General features: G+C 42.6%; 2 pseudogenes, besides 2 other annotated features; one reads left to right on the top strand and one right to left on the bottom strand.

Annotated features, from left to right (window-relative positions):
* Nucleotides 1–5,494: 5,494 nt before the first annotated feature.
* Nucleotides 5,495–6,512, bottom strand: PRADC1P1 (protease associated domain containing 1 pseudogene 1; annotated as a pseudogene).
* Nucleotides 12,786–12,845: an enhancer, noted in NCBI's record as "active region_19668". NCBI's record gives its function as "activates an Ori minimal core promoter by ATAC-STARR-seq in GM12878 lymphoblastoid cells {active_cell/tissue: GM12878}" and the evidence as "EXISTENCE:reporter gene assay evidence [ECO:0000049][PMID:35858748]".
* Nucleotides 12,936–12,985: an enhancer, noted in NCBI's record as "active region_19667". NCBI's record gives its function as "activates an Ori minimal core promoter by ATAC-STARR-seq in GM12878 lymphoblastoid cells {active_cell/tissue: GM12878}" and the evidence as "EXISTENCE:reporter gene assay evidence [ECO:0000049][PMID:35858748]".
* On the top strand, nt 14,418–14,542 carry RNU6ATAC4P (RNA, U6atac small nuclear 4, pseudogene; annotated as a pseudogene).

The following is a 24,113-nucleotide window of genomic DNA, read 5'->3' as shown; positions in this document are numbered from 1 at the left end:
TGGGTTGAGGTTAGAGACTTTATAGGAGGATATGAACTGACAGGCACACCAAAAGTCGTCTTACTCAAAGCTATCCAGTGAGTTTATTGCCTCCCAATTATTGGAGTTCTCACTGAACCCTCTGAGTCAGAATTTGTGGAACTGAGTATTAAAGGGTCCATAACTTCTTTGCAATGTAAAGAAATTGGGCCCCAGAGAGGTGGTTAAAGTTATCTTGAATTATGTAGCAGAACCAGGAAGAAAAAGCAGTTTTTTGAACTGTTGCAGTACTTTTCTCATTCTGTCATTGCTGTCATTACCTGACTGCCTTCATGCCTCCATTTCTTTTAAGAAACTTTTTTTGGTGGAAGACCTCAGAATCTTCATGGTATTTTCTTTGGTTCTGACTAGCAATGGCTAAGACAGGTTATCTCTCAGTGCTTATACAGAAATCCTTTAGGAATCTGGAATTCTATTAGATTATCAATATGTTAGATATATAATAAATATTAGAAACATTTTATATTTTGTGTGTATTCTGAACTGTTTAAAAAGCACAAATATTACCTGTTTCTAGAGGATTTGAAAAAATTTATCTGAAAAGAATGGAACTAGCTGGGCACAGTGGTGCATGCCTGTAATCCCAGCCACTCAGGAGGCTGAGGTGAGAGGATCACTTAAGCCCAGGAGTTCGAGACCAGCCTGGGTGACAGAGCAACACCCTTATTTCTAAAGGAATGGGACTGGCCAGAGCAATTAGAAAAGAAAAATTTAAAAAGGGCATCAACATTGAAAAGGAAAGCCCGGGCACGGTGGCTCACACATGTAACACCAGCACTTTGGGAGGCTGAGGCAGGTGGGTCACCTGAAGTCGGGAGTTCAAGACCAGCCTGGCCATCATGGTGAAACCCCATCTCTACTAAAAATACAAAAGTTAGCCAGGCATGGTGGCGGGCGCCTGTAATCCCAGCTACTCCTGAGGCTGAGTCAGGAGAATCACTTGAATCCAGGAGGCAGAAGTTGCAGTAAACCAAAATGGCGCCACTGCACTGCAGCCTGGGTGACAGAGCGAGACTCCATCTCAAAAAAAGAAAAAAATGGAAAAGGAAGAAGTCAAATTAGACTTGTTCACAGATGACATGATCTTATATTTAGAAAAACCTAAAGACCTCACCAAAAAAAAAAAAAGAAAACTGATAAATGAATTTAGTAAAATTGCAAGATACAAAAAACAGTAATATTTATATACACCAAGAGAGAAAAATTTGAAAAAAAAATGCAGTCCCAATTACAATAGCTGCAGATACCTGGGATCATTTTAACCAAAGAAGTGAAAGATCTATAGAAGGACAACTATAAAGCATAAAAGAAGTTGAGGAGGTCACAAACACACAAAAGAGATTCCATGTTCATGGACTGGAAGAATTACTATTGTTAAAATGATAGCTGAATGCGATGGCTCGCACCTGTAATCCCAGCACATTGGGAAGCCAAAGTGGGAGGGTCACTAGCAGCCTGGGCAACATAGTGAGACCCTGTCTCTATAAAAAAATTAAAAAAAATTAGTTGTGGTGGTATGCACGTGCAGTCCCAGCCACTTGAGGGCCTGAAAGTGGGAGGATCACTTGAGCCCAGTGAAGGTCAAGGCTACAGTGAACCATGATCATACAGTAAGCCATGATCACACCATTGCATTCTAGACTGGGTGACAGAGTGAAGACCCCGTCTCAAATAAAATGGCAATTCTACTCAATGCAGCTTACCAATTCAATGCAAAACCTGTGAAAATACCAACGACATTCTTCACAGAAATAGAAAAAAAATCCTTAAATTTATGTGGAACTAGAAAAGACCCCTAATAGACAAAACAATCCTGAGCAAAAAGAATAAAGCTGAAGGCATTTCACTACCTGACTTCAAAATTTACTGCAAAGCTGTAGTAACCAAATTAGCATGGTACTGGCATAAAAATAGAGACATAGACCAATGGAACAGAATAGAGAACTCATGTAAATCCACCCAGCCAACTCATCTTTGACAAAGGTACCAAGAATATACAATGGGAAAAAGACAGTCTCTTCAGTAAGTGTTACTGGGAAAACTGGATAACTATATGCAGAAGAAATAAACTAAACTATCTCTCACCATACAAAAAAAAAAATCACATCAAAATTGATTAAAGACCTAAGTCTGGGCTAGGCGCGGTGGCTCACACCTGTAATCCCAGCACTTTGGGACGCGGAGGCGGGCAGATCACGATGTCAGGAGTTCGAGACCAGCCTGGCCAGCATGGTGAAAACCCATCTCTACTGAAAATACAAAAAATTATCCAGGCATGATGGCGTACACCTGTAGTCCCAGCTACTCGGGAGGCTGAGGCAGGAGAATGGCGTGAACCCACAGGCTGTGGTTGCAGTGAGCCGAGATCGCACCATTGGACTCCAGCCTGGGCAACAGGGCGAGATTCTGTCTTAAAGAAAAAAAAAAAAGACTTAACTCTAATGTGAAACTGTTAGAAGAAACTGGAGACAGTTTCTTCTTCAGGACAGTGATCTGGGCAAATTTTTTGTGTAAGACCTCAACGGCACAGGCAACCAAAGCGAAAGTAGACAAGTGAGCTTACATCAAGCTAAGAAGCGGCACAGTAAAGGAAACAATCAGCAGACTAAAGAGACAACCCACAGAATAGGAGAAAATATTTGCAAACTACCCATCTAACAAGGAGTTAGTGACCAGAATATACAAGGAGCTCAAACAAATAGAAAAAAAATCCGATTTAAAAATGGACAAAAGATCTGAATAGACAGTTCTCAAAAGAAGACACACAAATGGCCAACAGGTACATGAAGAAGTGCTCAACATCACTAATCATTAGATAAATGCAAATCAAAACTACAATGAGATGTCAGCTTACCCCAGTTAAAATGGCTTTTATCAAAACAACAGGCAATAACGGATGCTGGTGAGGATGTGGAGAAAGGGGAACCCTTGTACACTGTTGGTGGGAATGTAAATTAGTACAGTCACTATGGAGAACAGTATGGCGTTTCTTCATAAATCTAGAACTACCATATGATCCAGCAATTCCACTACTGAGTGTATATCCAAAAGAAAGAAAATCAGTATACGAAAGAGGTATCTGCACTCTCATGTTTGTTGCAGCACTACTCACAATAGCTCAAATATGGAATCAAAGTGCTCATCAACGGATGAATAGGTAAAGAAAATGTGGATGTGGGCCAGGCACGGTGGCTCACGCCTGTAATCCCAGCACTTTGGGAGGCCAAGGTGGGCAGATCACAAGGTCAGGAGATCGAGACCATCCTGGCTAACACGGTGAAACCCCATCTCTACTAAAAATACAGAAAACAAAAACAAAACAAAAAAAACTAGCCGGGCGTTGTGGCGGGCGCCTGTAGTCCCAGCTACTCGGGAGGCTAAGGCAGGAGAATGGCATGAACCCAGGAGGCAGAGCTTGCAGTGAGCCGAGATGGAACCACTGCACTCCAGCCTGGGCAACAGAGCGAGACTCCATCTCAAAAAAAAAAAAAAAAAAAAAGAAAAGGAAAAAGAAAATGTGTATGTGGTACATATACAAAATAGAATATTATTCAGCCATAAAAATGAAATCCTGTCATTTGTAGCAACATGGAATTAAAGGTCATCATGCTAAATGAAATAAGTCAAGCACAGAAAGACAAATATCACATGCTCTTACTCATATGTGGAAACTAAAAAATTGGATCTCATGAAGATAGAGAGTAGATTTATGGTTACCAGAGGCCAGGAAAGGTATCAGGAGGAGACGAGGAAGAGAAGTTGATCAACTGATACAAATATATGGTTTTATAGAAGAAATATGACCTAGTGTTTGATAGTTTACAGTAATCTTGTACATTTCAAAGTAGCTAGAAGAGAATAGCTTGGATGTTTCCAGTGTAAAGAAAAGACAAATATTTAAGGTGATGGATGTCCCAAGTACACCAATTTGAACTTTATTAATCCCATGTACTCCAAATCTATGTGTACCTATTATACATCAGTAAAATAATTTTTTTTTTTTTTTGAGACGGAGTCTTGCTCTGTCGCCCAGGCTGGAGTGCAGTGGCATGATCTTGGCTCACTGCAAGCTCCGCCTCCCGGGTTCACGCCATTCTCCTGTCTCAGCCTCCCGAGTATCTGGGACTACAGGTGTCCACCACCACGCCCAGCTAATTTTTTGTATTTTTAGTAGAGATGGGGTTTCACCGTGTTAGCCAGGATGGTCTCGATCTCCTGACCTCGTGATCCACCCGACTTGGCCTCCCAAAGTGCTGGGATTACAGGCGTGAGCCACCGCACCCGGCCAATAATTCATTTTTTAAGAAAGAATGAGGATGGTGTCACTTTAGGTTTTTTTTTTTTTTCGGTTTATTTTGGTTTGGTTTTTTTGAGACAGGGTCTCACTCTGTCACCCAGGCTGTGCGGTGGGATAATCACAACTCACTGCAGCCTTGACCTCCAGGTTCAAGTGATCCTCCCACCACAGCCTCCTTAGTAGCTGGAACTACAGGCACACTCTACCACACCCGGCTAATTTTAATGTTTTTTTTTGGTGGAGATGGGGTTTTTGCCCTGTTGCCCAGGCTGGTCTTGAACTCCTGAGCTCAAATGATCCTCTCGCCCCCAACCTCCCAAAGTGCTGGGATTACAGGTGTCAGCCACCGCACCCAGCTTCACTTTAGGTAGTTCTCTGACAACTTTTCCATTTCTTCTATCTTACACATATTGAATTAATTTCAATTTTAACAAATTTTCCTAGGGAGTTTTTCATTAAGGTTTTCAAATTTATTGAGTTATTTTTAGCATTTTTGTTTTCTCTGTATCTCAGGTTATGCTCCCTCTCTCATGGGCTTTCTCTTTTTCTTAATTAGGCTCACCACAGATTATTTTTGTCTTTTTAAAAGAATTTATTCCTGCATTTATATATTATTATTATTATTTCCTTCCTTCCTCTCTTCTTTCCTTCCTGACAGGGTCTCCCTCTGTCACCCAGGCTGGAGTGCAGTGGTGCAAACATGGCACACTGCAGCTTCAGGATCCTGGGCTCAAGTGATCCTCCCCTGCAGCTGGGTCTACAGGCGCACACCTCCATGTCTGGCTGATTTTAAATTTTTTGTAGAGATGGGGTCTTCCTATATTGCCCAGGCTGTTCTCCAACTCCTAGGCTCAAGCAATCCTCCTGCCTTGGCCTCCTAAATTGCTGGGATTACAGGCATGAGCCACCACACCCAGCCTATATATCAGTATTATTATTTTCTATTTCATTGACTTCTGCTTTTTAAAATTAATTCTTCCTATTTTCTTATTTTTTTCATTATTTTTCCATATCCTTGAATTGAGTATTTTTATACCTTGTTTAATAACTAATGTATCTTTATTGTACATCAAACCCATTATAAATATAAATTTCTAAAACCTATATTATGCCTTTTATTGCCTTTTTTTTTTAATTGCTAAAAAGGCAATGAGGGTTTATTGAGTCCCCAAACACCGGCTCTTTAAACCACTCCAACAACTGCTGTGAAGGTCACTGTGCAGAGACCCTGGGTAGGGGAGGCTGGAGCCAGGTGAGATGTGACAGGTCACAGATGGCTCTCAGGCCACCTACCTTCAGCACCTTTTGTTTCAGGTTCTATCCAGAAGCCCTGGGGCCTGTCTCTTACCTCTTCTGGGACACCCTTGGGGGCCCTGGGGAAGGGAAGGTCAGTGGTGTGGTTTCCCTCTTTCAGCCTAGCAACGCCCAAATCCTTTTCCTCTACCTGGCTCCACTTGTCCCCAAATGCTATTCCCAAATTCTAAATAGCAAAATTCCTGGGTTTCCCCTTACCATCTCAGAGTCACTTATGGCTGGAATGTGGGACAAACTCTTCTACCAGAAGGACCAGGACGGTTGCTGCAGCTCAAAGGTGGGGATACTGGTGACATTGACTGGGATGGAAATGATGGCCCATGGCAGCCCAGGCTGTTCCAGGGAGCGGCGGATCATGTAGCCTCTCGGCTGAGAAGAAAGAGGGCGGAGATGTCAGCTGTGCGCTGGGTACTGTCCTGGATCATCGCCACATAGAAGCTGTCATTGTCAACCGCATTGTCAGAGATGATCACGGCCCGCCCGCCATGCTCTTGGACCACCCGAGTCTTGGAGAGGAGGGAGCAGCCCCCACTCTCCACCAGAGCGATCTGGTCCTGGATGAAGAAACCTGCTGAGTTCCCCGCAGGCCTCTGGAGGTTCAGCAGGGACAAGGTGAATCTGCTCATACCTTGTGTGAAAGATACCACCGAAGTCCTTGGCAGGTGTGGCTGTGAAGATGTATCGAATGTCCCCAGGACTCAGCACTTGAAAGTACAAATAATCATGGATACGGAAGCCGTGGGAAGCCAGAGCACGAGACAACACCAGCCCGCGGCGCCGGGGACCATCTCCAGCGCCCGGCCCGGCCCCGCGTTTCCTCCCGCCGCCCAGCCGCGTGTCGCTCGCCGAACTTTAGCCTGACAGCTGCCTTGAATTATTTGACTGGGCCGGGCACGGTGGCTCACGCCTATAATCCCAGCACTTTGGGAGGCCGAGGCGGGTGGATTACCTGAGGTCAGGAGTTCAAGACCAGCCTGGCCAACATGGTGAAACCCCGTCTCTACTAAAAACACAAAAAAAATTAGCCGGGCATGGTGGCACACCCCTGTAATCCCAGCTACTCGGGAGGCTGAGGCAGGAGAATTGCTTGAGCCCGGGAGGCAGGGGTTGCAGTGAGTCGAGATCTTGCCACTGCACTCCAACCTGGCCGACAGAGCGAGACTCTGTCTCAAAAAAAAAAAAAAAAATTCTTATTTGACTGATGATGTAGATGCTGTGCTGTGCCATGTGCCACTGTGCCCTTCTTCAGCACTGAAGGTCTTATTTTTATCTCTAAAAACAATATAAATAATTACAATCTTACGTAATTACAGTACCATTATCACACCTAATAATAATTCTTTGGTAAAAACTAATGCCTAGCCCATATTCAGATTTCCCTATTTGTTTTCAAAAATTACTTTTTACAATCGATTTCTTCAAATCTAGATCCAAACAAGGTCCACACATCATACTTGGCTATTGTGTCTCTTAAATTTCATTCAATCCAGAGGAGTCTCTTTGCCTACTTCCCATTTTTTTCCATGCTATTGTCTTGACCAAGAAACCAGCTCAGTTTTGTAGAACGTGGCCCACTCTAGATTTATCTGTTTTCTTCCTTTTTGTGCTGTTGAATTTGTTCTTCTGCTCTCCATATTTCATCCAATCGTAAAGGTAATTCTAAAGTCTTGATTAGATTCAGGTTTAACTGTTTTGGCTACTGAAAAGGTGGTGCTATGTACTCCTTATTGCTTTACATCAGAATCACAGACTATCTGGTCAGCCCTGTTTTAGTAATGCCGAGATTGGTCAGTGGTTTCAGGTGGTTACAGCCCAATCTTGCCACTGACAGGTTCCGTATAAGTGTTTCACCTGATATTTTTCATCCGTTGGTCATTGTTGTGTGGGTCTGTTGTTTCATTAGGACTTAAAATATAGTTATTTTTCTAACTTTATCATTCCCTCTACATTTATTAGCTGAAAGTTTTCTGTAAGATGGAACTTTTTCTAACTACAACTATTTGGTTACCTTGAAATATAGTGTGAAGCAAGCATGCAAAGGAGTCACTGACAAGATCAATGAGGAAATTTATTTTACTTTACTGCTGAATCTTCAGTGCCCAAACCAGTGCCTGGACCCAGGGGGACTTCATTAAAAAATTTTTGGCCAGGCATAGTGGCTCACACCTGGGAGGCCGAGGCGGGAGGATTGTCTGAGCTCAGGAGTTGGAGAACAGCTTGGGCAACATGGCGAGAGCCCATCTCTACAAAATGGAAAAAAGGAAAATTAGCTGGGCATGGTGGTGCACACCTATGGCCCTGGCTACTTGGGAGGCTGAGGTGGGAGTTTTGCTTGAGCTCAGGAGTTGGAGACCAGCCTGGGCAATATAGTGAGACCCCATCTCTACAAAACATTTAAAATCAGCCGAGTGTGGAGGCACACACCTGTAGTCCAAGCCACTTGGGAGGCTGAGGCAGGAGAATTGCTTAAGCCCAGGAGTTTGAGGGTGCAGTGAGCTGTGATTATGCCACTGTACTTCAGCCTGAGTGACAGAGCAAGACTCTGTCTCAGAAAAAAAAAAATTGTTGAAGGCTTCTTTCCCTTTAATTACTAATTTTCAGAGTTAGGAGTTAGCGTTTCTCTCCTCTTTTTTACTTGTGGGCTTTTAAATAAAACCTTTTATTTATAAACTTGTGGACTTTTATCTTCTTATTTATTTTGGTTTGCAGTCATTATTCTTTTTAGTGCTTATTGCTTATGTTGCCTCATCTTCGACTGGTGAGAGCTTGTTTTTTAATTTTTTTTTAAGGTATGAGGTCTCACTCTGTTGCCCAGGCTGGGGTGCAGTGGCTATTCACAGGCATGATCATAGTGCACCACAGCCTCAAGTGATCCTCCTGTCTCAGCCTCCCAAGATAGCTGGGACTACAGGCATGTGCCACCACACCTGATTTAAATGTACTTTTGACTTATGATATTTTCAACTTATGATGGGTTTATTAGGATGTAACCCCACCATAAGTCAAGGAGCATTTGTAGTTATCTGATATCTAGCCCTGAGAATGATTAGGACAGAGGAACATTGCCCTCTGGTGTGGAAGAGCCAGGTAAAGGAAGTGGTTTCGAGTATGGGCTCTGGATTGGTTGGTTTGCATAGGAATGGCATGCTTACAGGGGAGTGGTTTGATATTTCTAGGAATTAGCTAGTCCTAGGAGGGGAAGTCTCTTAGGTCAAAGAGGCACCTGATGCTAGAACATCAAGAAGACAGAAAGTAAGGAAATATAGTTAATACACATGGTACCTGCCATTTCTGAGCCCATGATTTCCTGGCAGGGAAACAGGCAAGTCTCAGCTCAGGTGTAGCTGACCATACTTGCAGATGTTCAGAGGACTCATTTCAGGAGCTTCCTATTAATAGGTCACTGGCTCTTTTTTAAGCATGAGCATGTCAAGGCTACCAGGTGACTTACTGGAGAATTCAGTCTTGGCTTTTGTGCTTGGCTTGGGTTTCTAGGGTTCCCATGTAACCAGGAAAGCCCACCAGCCCACTAATACTGTCGGATTAAGTACTACTCACACATAGCACCTGGTTGAGTCCCCTCTCATGGATCACATGCACCACAAACACAAATAAAAGCTTCAGCTTCCTTTTATGAAAGGAAAATAACTTGTTAGAATATGAAGCGAATGGTCTGAATGGTAAGTGATAGTGAGGGTTCTCTTATGGCCTATCTATTGTGACCTTTATCTGCTGCTCCTTCACCAACTATGCTTTATTGTTATCCTATCCCTTGAGCACAGGCTGAAAGACTGGCCATTAGTTATCTAACCTTATTCATCAGGCAGCCTACAAAACACCATTCTTAGTTGGAGTTCCAAATAGATCTTTGTTTGTCCCTGATCTTATAGCTGCTATAGAGAAGGTATATCTTTGTCCACCTGCTACCAAATGTTAATCATTATTAAAGCTTGTGGTGGGTACCTGGAGATCTCTCATCTTTTGTGTGTGTTTGAAAATTCCATATTAAAAAGGTTCGAAAAATGAATAAAGTTTACATCCAGTAGGATGGCTACCACCAACAAAACAGAAAATAAGTGTTGGTGAGGATATGGTGAAACTGGAACACTCATGTTCTCTTAGTGGGAACGTAAAACGGTACAGCCACTATAGAAAACAGTATGGCAGTCACTCATATTAAAAATAGAATTACATATAATCCAGCATTTCAACTTCTGGGTGTATACACAAAAAAGTGAAAGCAAGGACTTAAACATGTTCGCGGCAGCATTATTCACAATAGACAAAAGGTGGAAGCAACCCAAATGTTCATTGACAGATGAAATCGTTAATAAAATTTGGTATGTACATACAATGGAATATTATGTTGTAGCATATATCAAAATGTCTTTCCTTTTAAAAGCTGAGGGCACTATCCTAAGTGAAATAAGTCAGTCACAAAAAGACAAATACTGTTTGATTCCACCTATATAAGGTTATGTGCAGTAGTCAAATTCAGAAAGACAGAAAGTAGAATGGTGGTTGCCAGGGGCTGGGGGAGGGGGTAATGGAGATTTTTTGTTTTTAATTCTTTTTTCAAAATTTACTTTTTACTTTTTTCTTTTGTTAAAAAAAATTTTACTCTTAACACCACTCAATGAGAGATTACTGTTTAATAGATACAGAGTTCCAGTTTTGGGGTTTTTTGTTTGCTTGTTTGTTTGTTTTAGATAGGGCCTTGCTTTGTCACCCAGGGAGAGTACAATGGCACGCTCAAAGCTCACTGCAGCCTTGAACTCCTGGGCTCAAGTGACCCTCCCACCTCAGCTTCCTGAGTAGCTGGGACTACAGATGTGTATCACTATACTTGGCTATTTTTATTTTATTTTATTTTATTTCATTTCATTTATTTATTTATTTATTTTGAGATGGAGTCTCGCTCTGTCGCCCAGGCTGGAGTGCAGTGGCATGATCTCGGCTCACTGCAAGCTCCACCTCACGGGTTCATGCCATTCACCTGCCTCAGCCTCCTGAGTAGCTGGGACTACAGGCGCCCGCCACTACTCCCAGCTAATTTTTTTGTATTTTTAGTAGAGACGGGGTTTCACGTGTTAGCCAGGATGGTCTCAATCTCCTGACCTCGTGATCCGCCCGCCTCAGCCTCCCAAAGTGCTGGGATTACAGGCATGAGCCACCGCGCCCAGCTATTTTATTTTTCTGAGATAGAGTCTCACTCTGTTGCCCAGGCTGTAGTGCAGTGGCACGATCTTGGCTCACTGCAACCTCCGCCTCCCAGGTTCAAACGATTCTCCTGCTGCAGCCTCCAGAGTAACCGGGACTACAGGTGCGCGCCACCATGCCCAGGTAATTTTTTGTATTTTTAGTACAGATGGGGTTTCACCATGTTGGGCAGGCTGGTCTTGAACTCCTGAGCTCAGGCAATCTGCCCACCATGGCCTCCCAAAGTGCTGGGATTACAGGCATGAGCCATCGCGCCTGGTCTATTTTTATTTTGTTTTTATAGAGACGGTGTCTCACTATATTGCCCCAGCTGGTCTCAAACTCCTGGGCTGAAGCGATCCTCCTGCTTCGGCCTCTCAAAGTGCTGAGATTACAGTCGTGAGCCACCGCACCTGGTTCAGAGTTCCAGTTTTGCAAGATAAAAATAATTCTGCAGATGGATGGTGGTGATGGTTGTGCAACAATGTGAATGTGCTTCGTACCACTGCACTGTACAGTTAAAAACAGTTAAGACGGTTCATTTTATGTTATGTGTATTTTATCACAATTTTAAATAAAAGAATCAAGTTTAAGTACTCTATAAAATTAAGCATAAACCTATACCATACCTCAATAATTTCACTCCTAGGTATTTACACAAAAAAATCAAAACATATGTCCACAAAAATGTTCATCGTTCAAGAATGTTCATAGCAGCTTTATTCATTATAATCCAAAACTGGGAACAAACCAAATGTCTGTCAACAGGAAATGGGTAAACAAAATAGGCTCTATCCATACAATAGAGTACTAATCTGGAAGAAACGACTGATACACATAACAATATGGATAAATGTTAAAAACATTATTCTGAGGAAAATAAACCAGACACAAAAGGAAATATACTGGTTTTATGAAGATCAACAGCAGAAGAATCAAAACAATGGTGATAGAATCAGAGCAGTGAGGGTTGGGAGTGGAGATGGGAAGGCAGGGAGGCCAAGGGTTGGGGGCATGGGGGGGTGAACTGCTACTGACAGAAGGAACTTTCTGGGTCGATGTATGGTTTTTTTTGTTGTTTTTTGTTTTTTTGAGACGGAGTCTCTCTCTGTTGCCCAGGCTGGAGTGCAGTGGTGCTATCTCGGCTCAATGCAACCTCTGCCTCCCGGGTTCAAGCGATTTTCCTGCCTCAACCTCCTGAGTAGCTGGGACAACAGGCATGTGCCACCATGCCTGGCTAATTTTTTGTATTTTTAGTGGACAGCCAGGATGGTCTCGATCTCCTGACCTCATGATCCACCTGCCTTGGCCTCCCAAAGTGCTAGGATTACGGGCATGAGCCACTGCGCCCGGCTGATGTAAGTATTTATATCTTGACTGAGGTGTTGGTTCCACAGGTATACATATTTGCCAAAACTCATCAAACTGTATACTTAAGGTCTGTGAACTTACTATATGTTCTTTATACCTCAATATAATTAGTATTTAAAAAAAGAGAAAGTCCTCTCCCTGCTCTCCCCTCTTCCCCTGGGGTCAATGAAGCAAGTATGAAAAAACTAATGTGGTTTTGATATTATTCTGTGTTCTGTGATGCATATCATTTATAAAACAACAGAAGTTCATTTCTTGTGAACAGTTTGCTTATAATAAACCAAGGGCAACAGGTCACTGCTGACTGGCCTAGCTCCCTTAGCCAGCATCACAGATGACTAAGAGGGAAGTGAGAGATAGCAAGTGTAAGCTTCGTGCAGCATGACAGTATCAAACAGGAGCAAGAGACAGTTCAGGAAGGTGGGGGCATAGCTCATGAGGAAGGTTGCTTGGTGAGCGGCAGGCCTCTGCATTATCTTTGGTATCAGTGAAGAGCTGGTTTCCTTGGCAACAGGGGCCTACTTAATGAATGGTGCCTGCCAGGCAGCAGGCATGGACATGTCCATAGCAAGTGTACAATAGTGAAAGAAGATCTCTTCACCAAATATTCCCTTTTAGTCTACATACTGAGATCTGTTGATGGTTTAAGAACAATCAGAGAATGCTGAAAGACATAATAAAAAGCTTCAGTGCCATTACCCACTTCTCTTCTCCCCCATTCCTAGTAACAACCACTTGTAACCTTTTATCCTTCTCCTCCTCCCCCTCCTTCTCCACTCCTCCCACTCCTTCTCTCCTCCTCCTCCACCCCCCCCCCCCCGCCCACGCTCCCTCCCTCCCTCTCTTCCTTCCTTCCTTCTTCATTTTTTTAAATTTTTTTTGAGATGGTCTCACTCTGTTGGCTCACTGTAGCTTCCACCTTCTGGGCTCAACTGATTCTCCTGCCTCAGCCTCTGAAGTAGCTGGGAATACAGGCATACACCACCACACCCAGCTAATTTTTCTGTTTTTTTGTAGCGATGAGGTCTCACTACGTTGCTTAGGCTGGTCTCAAACTCCGGGACTCAAATGATCTGCCTGCCTCTGCCTCCCAAAGTGCTGGGATTACAGGCCTGAGCCACCGTGCCCAGCCTCCTTTTCTTTCATTAGTTATTTTGGTTTCATATATATTTCTGTATATTGCTAATTCTTAATTTATCAACTGTAGGCATTGTCTACTTATTGCTTATGATTAATAAGGATTTAACTAATTAATACCACCCCATTTCTCCTTTTCTTCTTTTTACCATGACTTTTGTTGTATCATTGGTTTTCTTTCCATTGGTTACTTTTATACATTTAGATTCTGTTCTTAAACTATTTGTTTTTAATTCTGTCAATTTTCACTAACGTCTCTTGACTTTTTTCCCCTACCCTTGCCTCCATCTCTTTTCCTACTTCTACCTTCTGGTTTCTGTGAGCTTCACTTTGATATTTACATTGTTGAGGTTGAAAATTTACATTCTGTTCAGAAACCTGAACCCCCATCCTTTGTCTGTAGGTTGATGACACAAATTTAAAATTACTAAAAATATTAAATTGTTATGACATTATGTTTTCTTGTATAATTATGTCATCACCCTAGACCTCTCAAAGGACAATATTCCTAGAAAATTCTATGATGGGCCAGGCGCGGTGGCTCACGCCTATAATCCCAGCACTTTGGGAGGCTGAGGTTGGCAGATCACTTGAGTTCGGGAGTTCAAGACCAGCCTGACAAACAGGGTGAAATCCTGTCTCTACTAAAAAATACAAAAATTAGCCAGGTGTTGTGGCGGGCACCTGTAATCCCAGCTGCTTGGGACGCTGAGGCATGAGAATCACTTGACCCCGGGAAGCAGAGGTTGCAGTGAACTGAGATCACCACTGCACTCCAGCCTGGGTGACAGAGTGAGACCCTGTCTCAAAAAAAAAAAAAAAAAAAAAAGAAAAAGAAAATTGCATGGTGGATTCTCTTTTCTTAAAGAACCACAGTTGCCCAAATTCATACCACATTTGTTTATTTCAAGTTTGGATCATAACTTTCCTGTCTTAGAATTTTTATAATTTTTCCCTCATCAGGAGAAGCAAAAGCCTTCTTCATGAAAGCACTGATATCTATTAGTTCCTTACTCTAAAATTGTTCAGGGTCTATTCTAGAAGTCTTAAGAATATCTTTGTGTTGTATGAAAGGGGAGAAGGTTAGTACTCCCCTTGACAAGGATGGAAGAGGCCCTCAGGCCTGACAACACACATACGGTTAAGGCATTGCCACCTAGTTCGTGGCATCTAACTATCGTTTTTTCACACACTGGGGCCTGTTATGGGGTAGGGGAGGGGGGAGGGATAGCATTAGGAGACATACCTAATGTAAATGAGGAGTTAATGGGTGCAGCACACCAACATGGCACATGTATGCATATGTAACAAACCTGCACGTTGTGTACATGTACCCTAGAACTTAAAGTATAATAAAAGATATATATATATTTAAAAAAAAAGAATATCTTTTTGGAGCACATGGACCTCCTGTTTTAATTTGAATAGATTTCTTTCAAACCCCACTGCAAGCAGTCATCCTGGGGTTTCTTTTTATTAGATTAACAGGGTTAGTACTATCATCTTCTGTTTTCTACATACTCCTCACACTTGGTTTCCTGGCCAACATATTCAATTGTCTCCTTCAGATAGCATAAATAGTAGATAAACCCTGAATCCTTACAGGTGTAAGAATGGCTTTAGTTTGTCCTCAGTCTTGATAGCTAGCTTGTCTAAGTTTGGATTTCTAGGCAGAATTATTTTCCCACCCAACTCTGAAGGTGTGCTCCATTAATTAATTAAGGAACATTTAAGATTGTGAAATAGAACACATATATACAAAAAACACAAATGTGTATCTTAATGAATTGTTATACAGTAAATATTTATATAACCACCAGGCCATAAAACAAAATTTTGTCAAAATCTTAGAAGTCTACATCAACATTTTCCACCTTTGGCCCACTGGTCTCTTTCCAATTCCAATGTTCCTCTTTCCTCTTAGAAATATCCACAATTACGAGACTCTGTCTCAAAAAAAAAGAGGCCAGCCACAGTGGCTCATGCCTGTAATCCCAGCACTTTGGGAGGCCGAGGTGGGCGGATCACGAGGTCAGGAGATCGAGACCATCCTGGCCAACATGGTGAAACCCTGTCTCTACTAAAATACAAAAAATTAGCTGGGCGTGGTGGTGCACACCTGTAATCCCAGCTACTAGGGAGGCTGAGGCAGGGTAATCACTCGAACCTGGAGGCGGAGATTGCAGTGAGCTGAGATCATGCCACTGCACTCCAGCCTGGCGACAGAATGAGACTCTGTTTCAAAAAAAAAAAAAAAATCTACAATTCTGAATTTTATGGAAATAACTTTCTTGCTTTATAAAAATAATGTTATCAAATAAATATGCTTCTCTACACATATAATTTAGTTTGCTTATTTTTGAGCTTCACGTAAATGGAATAATACAGCATATATTATTTTGAGTCTGGCTTTATTTGCTTAGCATTATGTTTTGAAATTCATCCATGTTGTTGGATGTACCTACAGTTCATTTCATTTCCATTGCTGTTCAGTATTACATTGGATTAATCTAATACAATGTGTTTATCTCTTCTACTAGTGATAGATATTTATTAATAGGTCGGTTCCAGTTTGAGGCTGTCATGAATAATGCTGCTAGGAAGATCTTTGTATGAGTTTTCTCACCCTGATGTGAAAGAAAATTTTTTTTTTTTTTGAGACAGAGTCTCGCACTGTCGCCTGGGCTGTAGCGTAATGGCGTGATCTAGGCTCCTTGCAACCTCTGCCTCCCGGGTTCAAGCAATTCTCTTGCCTCAGCCTCCCGAGTAGCTGGGATTACAGGTGCCCGCCACCATGACCAGCTAATTTTTTGTATTTTTTAGTAGAGACAGGGTTTCGCTGTGTTGGCCAGGCTGGTCTCGAACTCCTGACTTCGTGAACTGCCCGCCTCGGCCTCCCAAAGTGCTGGGATTACAGGCGTGAGCCACCGCGCCCGGCCGAAAGAAAATTTTTGACTGCTTGTTCTATCAGTTACTGAGATAATTTTGTTCAAATCTCCCGCAAGGATTGTGAGTTTCTCTGTGATTCTGACAGCTTTTGCTTTATACATGTCAAGGCAATAATATTTGGTACATACATATTTTGTACCAATGTTAATTATTCCTGATGACTTGAAGCTTTTATCATAATTAAGTGGTCCTCTCTAATTTTTTTGTCCTAAATTCTGTTTTGTCTCATATTAATAAAGCTAGACCAGTTTTCTTTCATTTTTTTTATCATGGTAAAATACACATAATATAAAAATTTCCATTTTAACCATTTTATTTACTTTTTTTAGAGGCAAGGTCTTGCTCTGTTGCCCAGGCTGGAGTGCAGTTGCATGATCATGAAACCGCCTTGGCAAAATTGTGACTGAGGAAATTATGACAATGAAAGCAATCAGACCTAAATAACTCCATCTTGCTTCTAACCTTTAAGCTGTCTTTGTTCATTCCTGCGAGTAGGCCAAACTAACCTTGGGAAGGAATTCAGTTCATGGTTTGACTCTGAAACAAAATTAATAACAGCCCTTTCCTGAAAAGACCCCCTTCTTGCCTGGGGACCAGTCTGCCTTTGCGAACTAACAAATTAGCTACAAGATTAGAAATTACAGTTTAGGGATCATGCCACCTCTGGCGCCTAGAGTCTGAACTTCCCCTAATTGCTTCTGGGGATAACATCACTATTGTAAAACCTAAGATCAGTGCTTGAGATATTTGCAGACCCTACACTCAATGGATCAGCTGACACCACTCAGACCAGGAATCTGGCTCAACCAGTTCTGCCATCACACCCAAGAACAGAAGACAGCAAGAAAAACTCACTTCAACCACCTATGATTCCATCTCTAACCTGACCAATCAGCACTCCCCACTTCCCAAACTCCTACCTGCCAAATTATCTTTAAAAACCCTGATCCCCGAATGCTTGGGGAGACTGATTTGAGTAATAATAAAACTCCGGTTTCCTGCACAGCCAGCTCTGTGTGAATTACTCTTTCTCCATTGCAGTTATCCTGTCTTGATAAATCGGCTCTGTCTAGGCAGCGGGCAAGGTGAACACATTGGGTGGTTACAATCAGAGTTCACTGTAACTTCGAACTCCAAGGCTCATGCCATCCTCCCTCCTTGTCCTCCCAAAGTGCTAGGATTAGATTACAGGCATGAGCCACTGTTCCCAGCCCCATTTTAACAATTTTAAAATGTACAATTCAGTGGTATTAAGTACATTCATGATTATCACTATCTAGTTCCATAACTTATTAATCATTCAAAGAAAAACACTCTATGTCCATTAAATAATAACTGCCAATCTTCTCCTCTGTTCAGCCCCTGCTAACCACTATTCCATTTCCTGTCCTTATGAAAATGACTATTCTGTGTACCTCACATGCATAGAATTATACAATAGTTCCCTTTTTGTATCTGACTGTATTCACTTAGCATAAAGTTTCCAAGGTTCATCCATGTTGTATGTGTTTGTACTTCATTCATTTTATGGCTGAATATATCCCATTATATACACATTTTGTTTATCTGTTCATGAGTTGGTGGACATTTCAGTTGTTTCTACTTTTTGGTCAAGAAAAAAACAGGTGAATTGGACTTCATCAAAATGAAAAACTTTTGTGTATCAAAGGACACTATGAAGAGAATGAAAAGGCATCCCACAGAATGGGAGAAAATATTTGCAAATCATGTATCAGGTAAGTGATTAATATCCAGAATACATAATGAACTCCTACAACTCAACAACAAAACCGAACAACCCAGTTAAAAATGGACAAAGGGCTTGAATAGCCATTTCTCCAAAGATATCCAGATGACTAATAAACACATGAAAAGATGCTCAACATCACTAATCATTAGGGAAATGCAAATTAAAACCACAATGAATGTCACTTCCCATGTACTAGGATAGCTATTTTTTAAAAAGAAAAATAAGTATTGGCAAGGATATGGAGAAACTGGAACTCTCACATTTTGCTGGTGGAAATGCAAAATGGTGCAACCACTTTGGGTACAGCTTGATATTTTTCCAAAAAGTTAAACAAAATTACCACATGATTCTACAATTCCACTCCTAGGTATATACCCCAAAGAACTGAAAACATATACTTAAACAGGCATGTGTACACATGTTTATAGTAGCACCATTCACAATAGCCAAAAGGTGGAAACAGCCTAAATGTCCCTCCACAGGTTAATGGATAAACAAATTTTGATATATAAATACTATGGAATATTATTCAGCTATAAAAAGAAATGAAGTACTGATGCATGCTGCAACATGGCTGAAACTCCAGAGCATTATGCTACATTGTGAAAGAATCCAGACAAAAAAGGTCACATATTATATGACTCTGTATACTTGAAATATCTAGAATAGACAAATTCATAGAGTCAGGGCCGGGCTTGGTGGCTCATGCCTGTAATCCCAGCACTTTGGGAGGCCACGGCGGGCTGATCGCCTGGGGTCAGGAGTTTGAGACCAGCCTGGCCAAAATGGTGAAACCCCATGTCTACTAAAAATACAAAAATTAGCCAGGCATGATGGCGGGCACCTGTAGTCCCAGCTACTTGGGAGGCTGAGGCAGGACAATTGGTTGAACCTGGGAGACAGGTTGCAGTGAGCCGAGATCACGCCACTGAACTTCAGCCTGGGTGACAGAGTGAGATCCTGTCTCAAAAAAAAAAAAAAAAATCATAGAGACAGAATGCAGATTGATGGTTGTCAATGGCGGAGGGGAGAGGGAATGGAAGGAACAGCTTAAGGGGTTTATCGTAGAGTGATGGAAATGCTTTAGAGCTAGGTAGAGGTAGTGGTTGCCTAACACGGTGAATGTATTGAATGCCACTGAATTGTTTATTTTAAAATGGTTAGGGCCGGGTGCGGTGGCTCACGCCTGTAATCCCAGCACTTTGGGAGGCCAAGGCGGGCAGATCACTTGAGGTCAGGAGTTCCAGACCAGCCTGGCCAGTATGGCGAAACCCCATCTCTACTAAAAATACAAAAACTTAGCTGGGTGTAGTGGCGCACGACTATAATCCCAGCTACTTGGGAGGCTGAGGCAGGGAATTGCTTGAACCCAGGAGGCAGAGGTTGCAGTGAGCTGACATCATGCCACTGCACTCCAGCCTGGGTAACAGAGCAAGACTCTGTCTCAAAAATAAATAAATAAATAAATAAATAAATAAATAAATAAATAAAATAAAATGGTTCGGCTGGGCCACGTGTGGTGGCTCATGCCTATAATCCCAGCAATTTGGGAGGCCGAAGGGGTGGATCACCTGAGGTCAGGAGTTCAAGACCCGCCCCGCCAACACAGTGAAACCCTGTCTCTACTAAAAATACAAATATTAGACTCCCTGTAGCCTCAGTTACTTAGGAGGCTGAGGCAGGAGAATTGCTTGAACCCAGGAGGTGGAGGTTGCAGTGAGCTGACATCAAGCCAATGCACTCCAGCCTGGGCAACAGAGCAAGACTCCATCTTAAAAATTAATAAAAATAAAATAAAATAAAATGGTTAGGCCAGCACGGTGGCTCACACCTGTAATCCCAGCAATTTGGGAGGCTGAGGTGGGTGGATCACCTGAGGTCAGAAGTTCGAGACCAGCCCAGTCAACATGGTGAAACCCCATCTCTACTAAAATTACAATAAATCAGCCAGGCATGGTGATGTGCACCTGTGATCCCAGCTACTCCAGAGGCTGAGGCATGAGAATCACTTGAACCCAGGAGGCAGAGGCTACAGTGAACCAGGACTGCGCCACCACCCTCTAGCCTGGGCGACAGAGTAAGACCTCTGTCTCAAAACAATAAATAAATAAATAAAATGGTTAATTTTAAGTTATGTGAATTTCACCTCGGTAAATTATTTTATTTATTTATTTATTTATTTACTTATTTATTTATTGAGATGGAGTCTTGCTCTGTCGCCAGGCTGGAGTGCTGTGGCGTGATCTCGGCTCACTGCAACCTCCAACTCCCTGATTCAAGCGATTCTCCTGCCTCAGCCTCCTGAGTAGCTGGGATTACAGGCACATACCACCACACCCAGCTAATTTTGTTTGAATTTTTAGTAGAGATGGGGTTTCACCATGTTGGCCAGGCTGGTCTCGATCTCCTGACCTCATGATCCGACCACCTCGGCCTCCTAAAGTGCTGAGATTACAGGCGTGAGCCACTGCGCCCAGCCAATAAATTATTTTTAAAAATATTATCTTAGGTCAGGAGGAGTGGCTCACACCTGTAATCCCAGCACTTTGGGAGGCCAAGGCAGGTGGATCACCTGAGGTCAGGAGTTCATGACCAGCCTGGACAACATGGCAAAATCCTGTCTGTACTAAAAATATAAAAAATAGGGCCAGGCACAGTGGCTCACGCCTGTAATCCCAGCATTTTGGGAGGCTGAGGCAGGCGGAACACCTGAGGTCGGGAGTTCAAGACCAGCCTGACCCACATGAAGAAACCCCATCTCTACTAAAAATACAAAATTAGCAGGGCGTAGTGGCACATGCCTGCAATTCCAGCTCCTTGGGAGGCTGAGGTAGGAGAATGGCTTGAACCCAGGAGGCAAAAGTTGCAGTGAGCCAAGATCACGCCATTGCACTCCAGCCTGGGCAACAAGAGTGAAACTCAGTCTAAAAAAAAAAAAAAAAAAAAATATATATATATATATATATATATATGTATAAAAATTAGCTGGGTGTGGTGGTGTATGCTTGTAGTCCCAGCTACCCAGGAGGCTGAGGCATGAGAATCGCTTGAACCCGGGAGGCAGAGGTTGCAGCGAGCCGAGATCGTGCCACCGCACTACAGCCTGGGGGATAGAACAAGACTCTGTCTCCAAAAAATAAAAATAAGAAATATAATAAAATTTTATCTTGGTCTATTAAGGCTGCTGTAACAAAATACCGTAGACTGGGTAATTTGTAAATAATAGAAATTTAAGGCTGGGCACGGTGGCTCATGCCTGTAATCCCAACACTTTGGGAGGCTGAGGCGGGTGGATCACCTGAGGTCAGGAGTTTGAGACCAGCCTGGCCAACATGACAAAACCCTGTCCCTACTAAAAATACAAAATTAGCTGGGTATGGTGGTGCATGCCTGTAATTCCAGCTACTCGGGAGGCTGAGGCAGGAGAATCACCTAAGCCTGGGAGGCAGAGGTTGCTGTCAGCCGAGATTGTACCGCTGAACTCCAGCCTGGATGACAGAGCAAGACTACGTCTCAATACATACATACATAAAAATAAATAGAAATTGATTTCTCACAGTTCTGGAGGTTGGGAAGTCCAAGATCAAGGCACCAGCAGGTTTGGTGTCTGGTGATGGCTTGCTCTCTGCTTCATCAATGGCACCTCTTTGCTACATCCTCACATGGTGGAAATGTAGAAGGGCAAAGAGGACTAACAGACTCCCTCAAACCCTTCTATAAGGCTAATCCCTCATGGATGGGATTAGTCATGACCCAATCACCTCGTAAAGGCCCTGCCTCTTACTACTATTGCATTGGAGATTTTCAATATGAATTTTGGAGGGACACAAACATTCAAACCATATCAAATGAATATCCAAGTACCTTATTTTCCTTGGAGTGGTTGTAAATGGTACTGCATTTTGTTGTTGTTGTTTTTGTTTGTTCGTTTTTGTTTTGAGACAGGGTCTTGCTCTGTTGCCCAGGCTGGAGTGCAGTGGCACAATCTTAGCCCACTGCAGCCTCGACTTCCTGGGCTCAAGCTCTCCTCTCACCTCAGGCTTCTGAGTAGCTGGAACTACAGGCACACGCCACCATGCCAGTGAATTTTTGTATTTTTTGTAGAGACAGGGTTTCGTCATGTTGCCCAGGCTAGTGTTGAACTCCTGACCTCAAGTGTTTCACCTGCTTAGGCCTCCCAAAGTGCTTGGATTATAGATGTAAGCCACCGTGACCAGTGGTTCTGTGGACCAGTGGTTCTGTGTTTGAAAGTATGGGTTTTTTTTTTCTTTTTTTTTTTTTTTTTGAGACGGAGTTTCACTCTTTCGCCCAGGCTGGAGTGCAGTGGCATGAGCTCGACTAGTGCAACCTCCTCCTTCCGGTTTCAAGCGATTCTCCTGCCTCAGCCTCCAGAGTAGCTGGGATTGCAGGTGCCCGCCACCAAGCCTGGCTAATTTTTGTAATTTTTTTCTGTTTCCAAGACCATCTCTATTACTTCTGGGGACATATTTTTTATGTTTATTTATCTTTGTCTTTCATGAATAGTTTTTCCTCAAATATGTGGAGTCCCTTGGTTGACTAATCATATCTAACAATGAAGAGACAGGGAGGCTGAATGAGCTGGCTCTGCACACATTAAGCTAGTTGAATGGGTTTAATTGGCAAGGAGATGGGGAGGGAGCCAAATGCCATAAAGAGAAGGGCTTTACTCGGCACATACCTCTTTTCTAGCTGGCATATTGCCACCATGAAGGCCGAATCTTCCTGAGTGAAGCTCTGGAAACACTGTGTCTGAATCCCACACTTTTCATTACATGAGCCAGTACATCTCCATTTAAGCTAATTTGAGTCAAGTTCTCTTTTACTTAAAACCAAAAGCATTTTAACCTGCTTTAAATTTCCTTCACTTAACCTGAAATACATCTCTTTCCATATCAGATAGTGTCCAACAATTCCTTATGGCTAATGGTCCATGGAGAGTAAAAACAAAGCCAGATCTTTTGTTTTGTTTTTTCAAAAAAAAAAAACAAAAAAACAAAAAAACAGAGTTTTGCTCTGTCGCCCAGGCTGGAGTGCAGTAGTGCAATCTTGGCTCACTGCAACCTCCGCTGCCTGGGTTCAAGTGATTCTTCTGCCTTCTGAGTAGCTGGGATTATAGGCATGCACCACCACTGCTGGCTATTTTTATATTTTTAGTAGAGACGAGGTTTGGCCATGTTGGCCAGGCTGGTCTCGAACTCCTGACCTCAAGTGATCCGCCCGCCTTGGTCTCCCAAAGTGTTGGGATTACAGGCGTGAGCCATCGCACCTGGCCAGGATAGTTATTTTGAATTGTTTGCTAATCATTAATAGTCACTGTTTTAGGGCGGTGGAATTATGGGTGAAAAATTTCTACTCTCACTTTTCTGAAAAAGTGATAAAATGTTTTTGGAACTTTAAAAAACAAACGTGCTATATCATCTTTATATAAGTCCACTAAGCAGAGATTTTTTTAAAGCACCTGCAGTATGTAAGGCCCTATGGAGGAAGCAAAGTTGAATAAACCTCTGTTCCTAAAGAGGAGGAAAACACAGAAGGAATACACATGAAGGAGGGAGGGCCTGGTTGATTGTGAACTGAGTTGCGTATGGTCTTCTTTGCTTGACCCCAGCTAATGTAAAGATAAATCTCTGTATGATATTTAGATGTCATTAAAGTTGGATCTGTAAACGTGCTGAGCTTGAGAACAATTTCCATCCACTTATGTTAAGGTAAAATGTGAGCCTGCCAGTAAGTCATGTAGCTGCACACTCCCACCGCACGGTGGCGGCATACCTAAATGGAAGGAGCAGCTCCTAGTGTAAAGTCTCTGCAGGACTGAAGCTAGGGAAAAGAAGCAACAGTGATATCACCATAGGAAACAAACACCTTTACAAGTGTGGCAGTGGTTCAAGATGGCTGTCAGCAGAGTCCTCGAAGCACTTTCTTATTCTTATCCCACCACCTCAGTTGTCCCTACACAACTGTCTCCTCACAGTTCCCCTTTAAGAATACTTTATTATAATTATTTTATTTCATTTGTTGTCTTACTTGCCACCC

Source organism: Homo sapiens, chromosome 3 (genome assembly GCF_000001405.40).
Source record: "Homo sapiens chromosome 3, GRCh38.p14 Primary Assembly".
NCBI classification, from domain to species: domain Eukaryota; kingdom Metazoa; phylum Chordata; class Mammalia; order Primates; family Hominidae; genus Homo; species Homo sapiens.
This window is presented reverse-complemented; position numbering and strand designations above follow the sequence as displayed.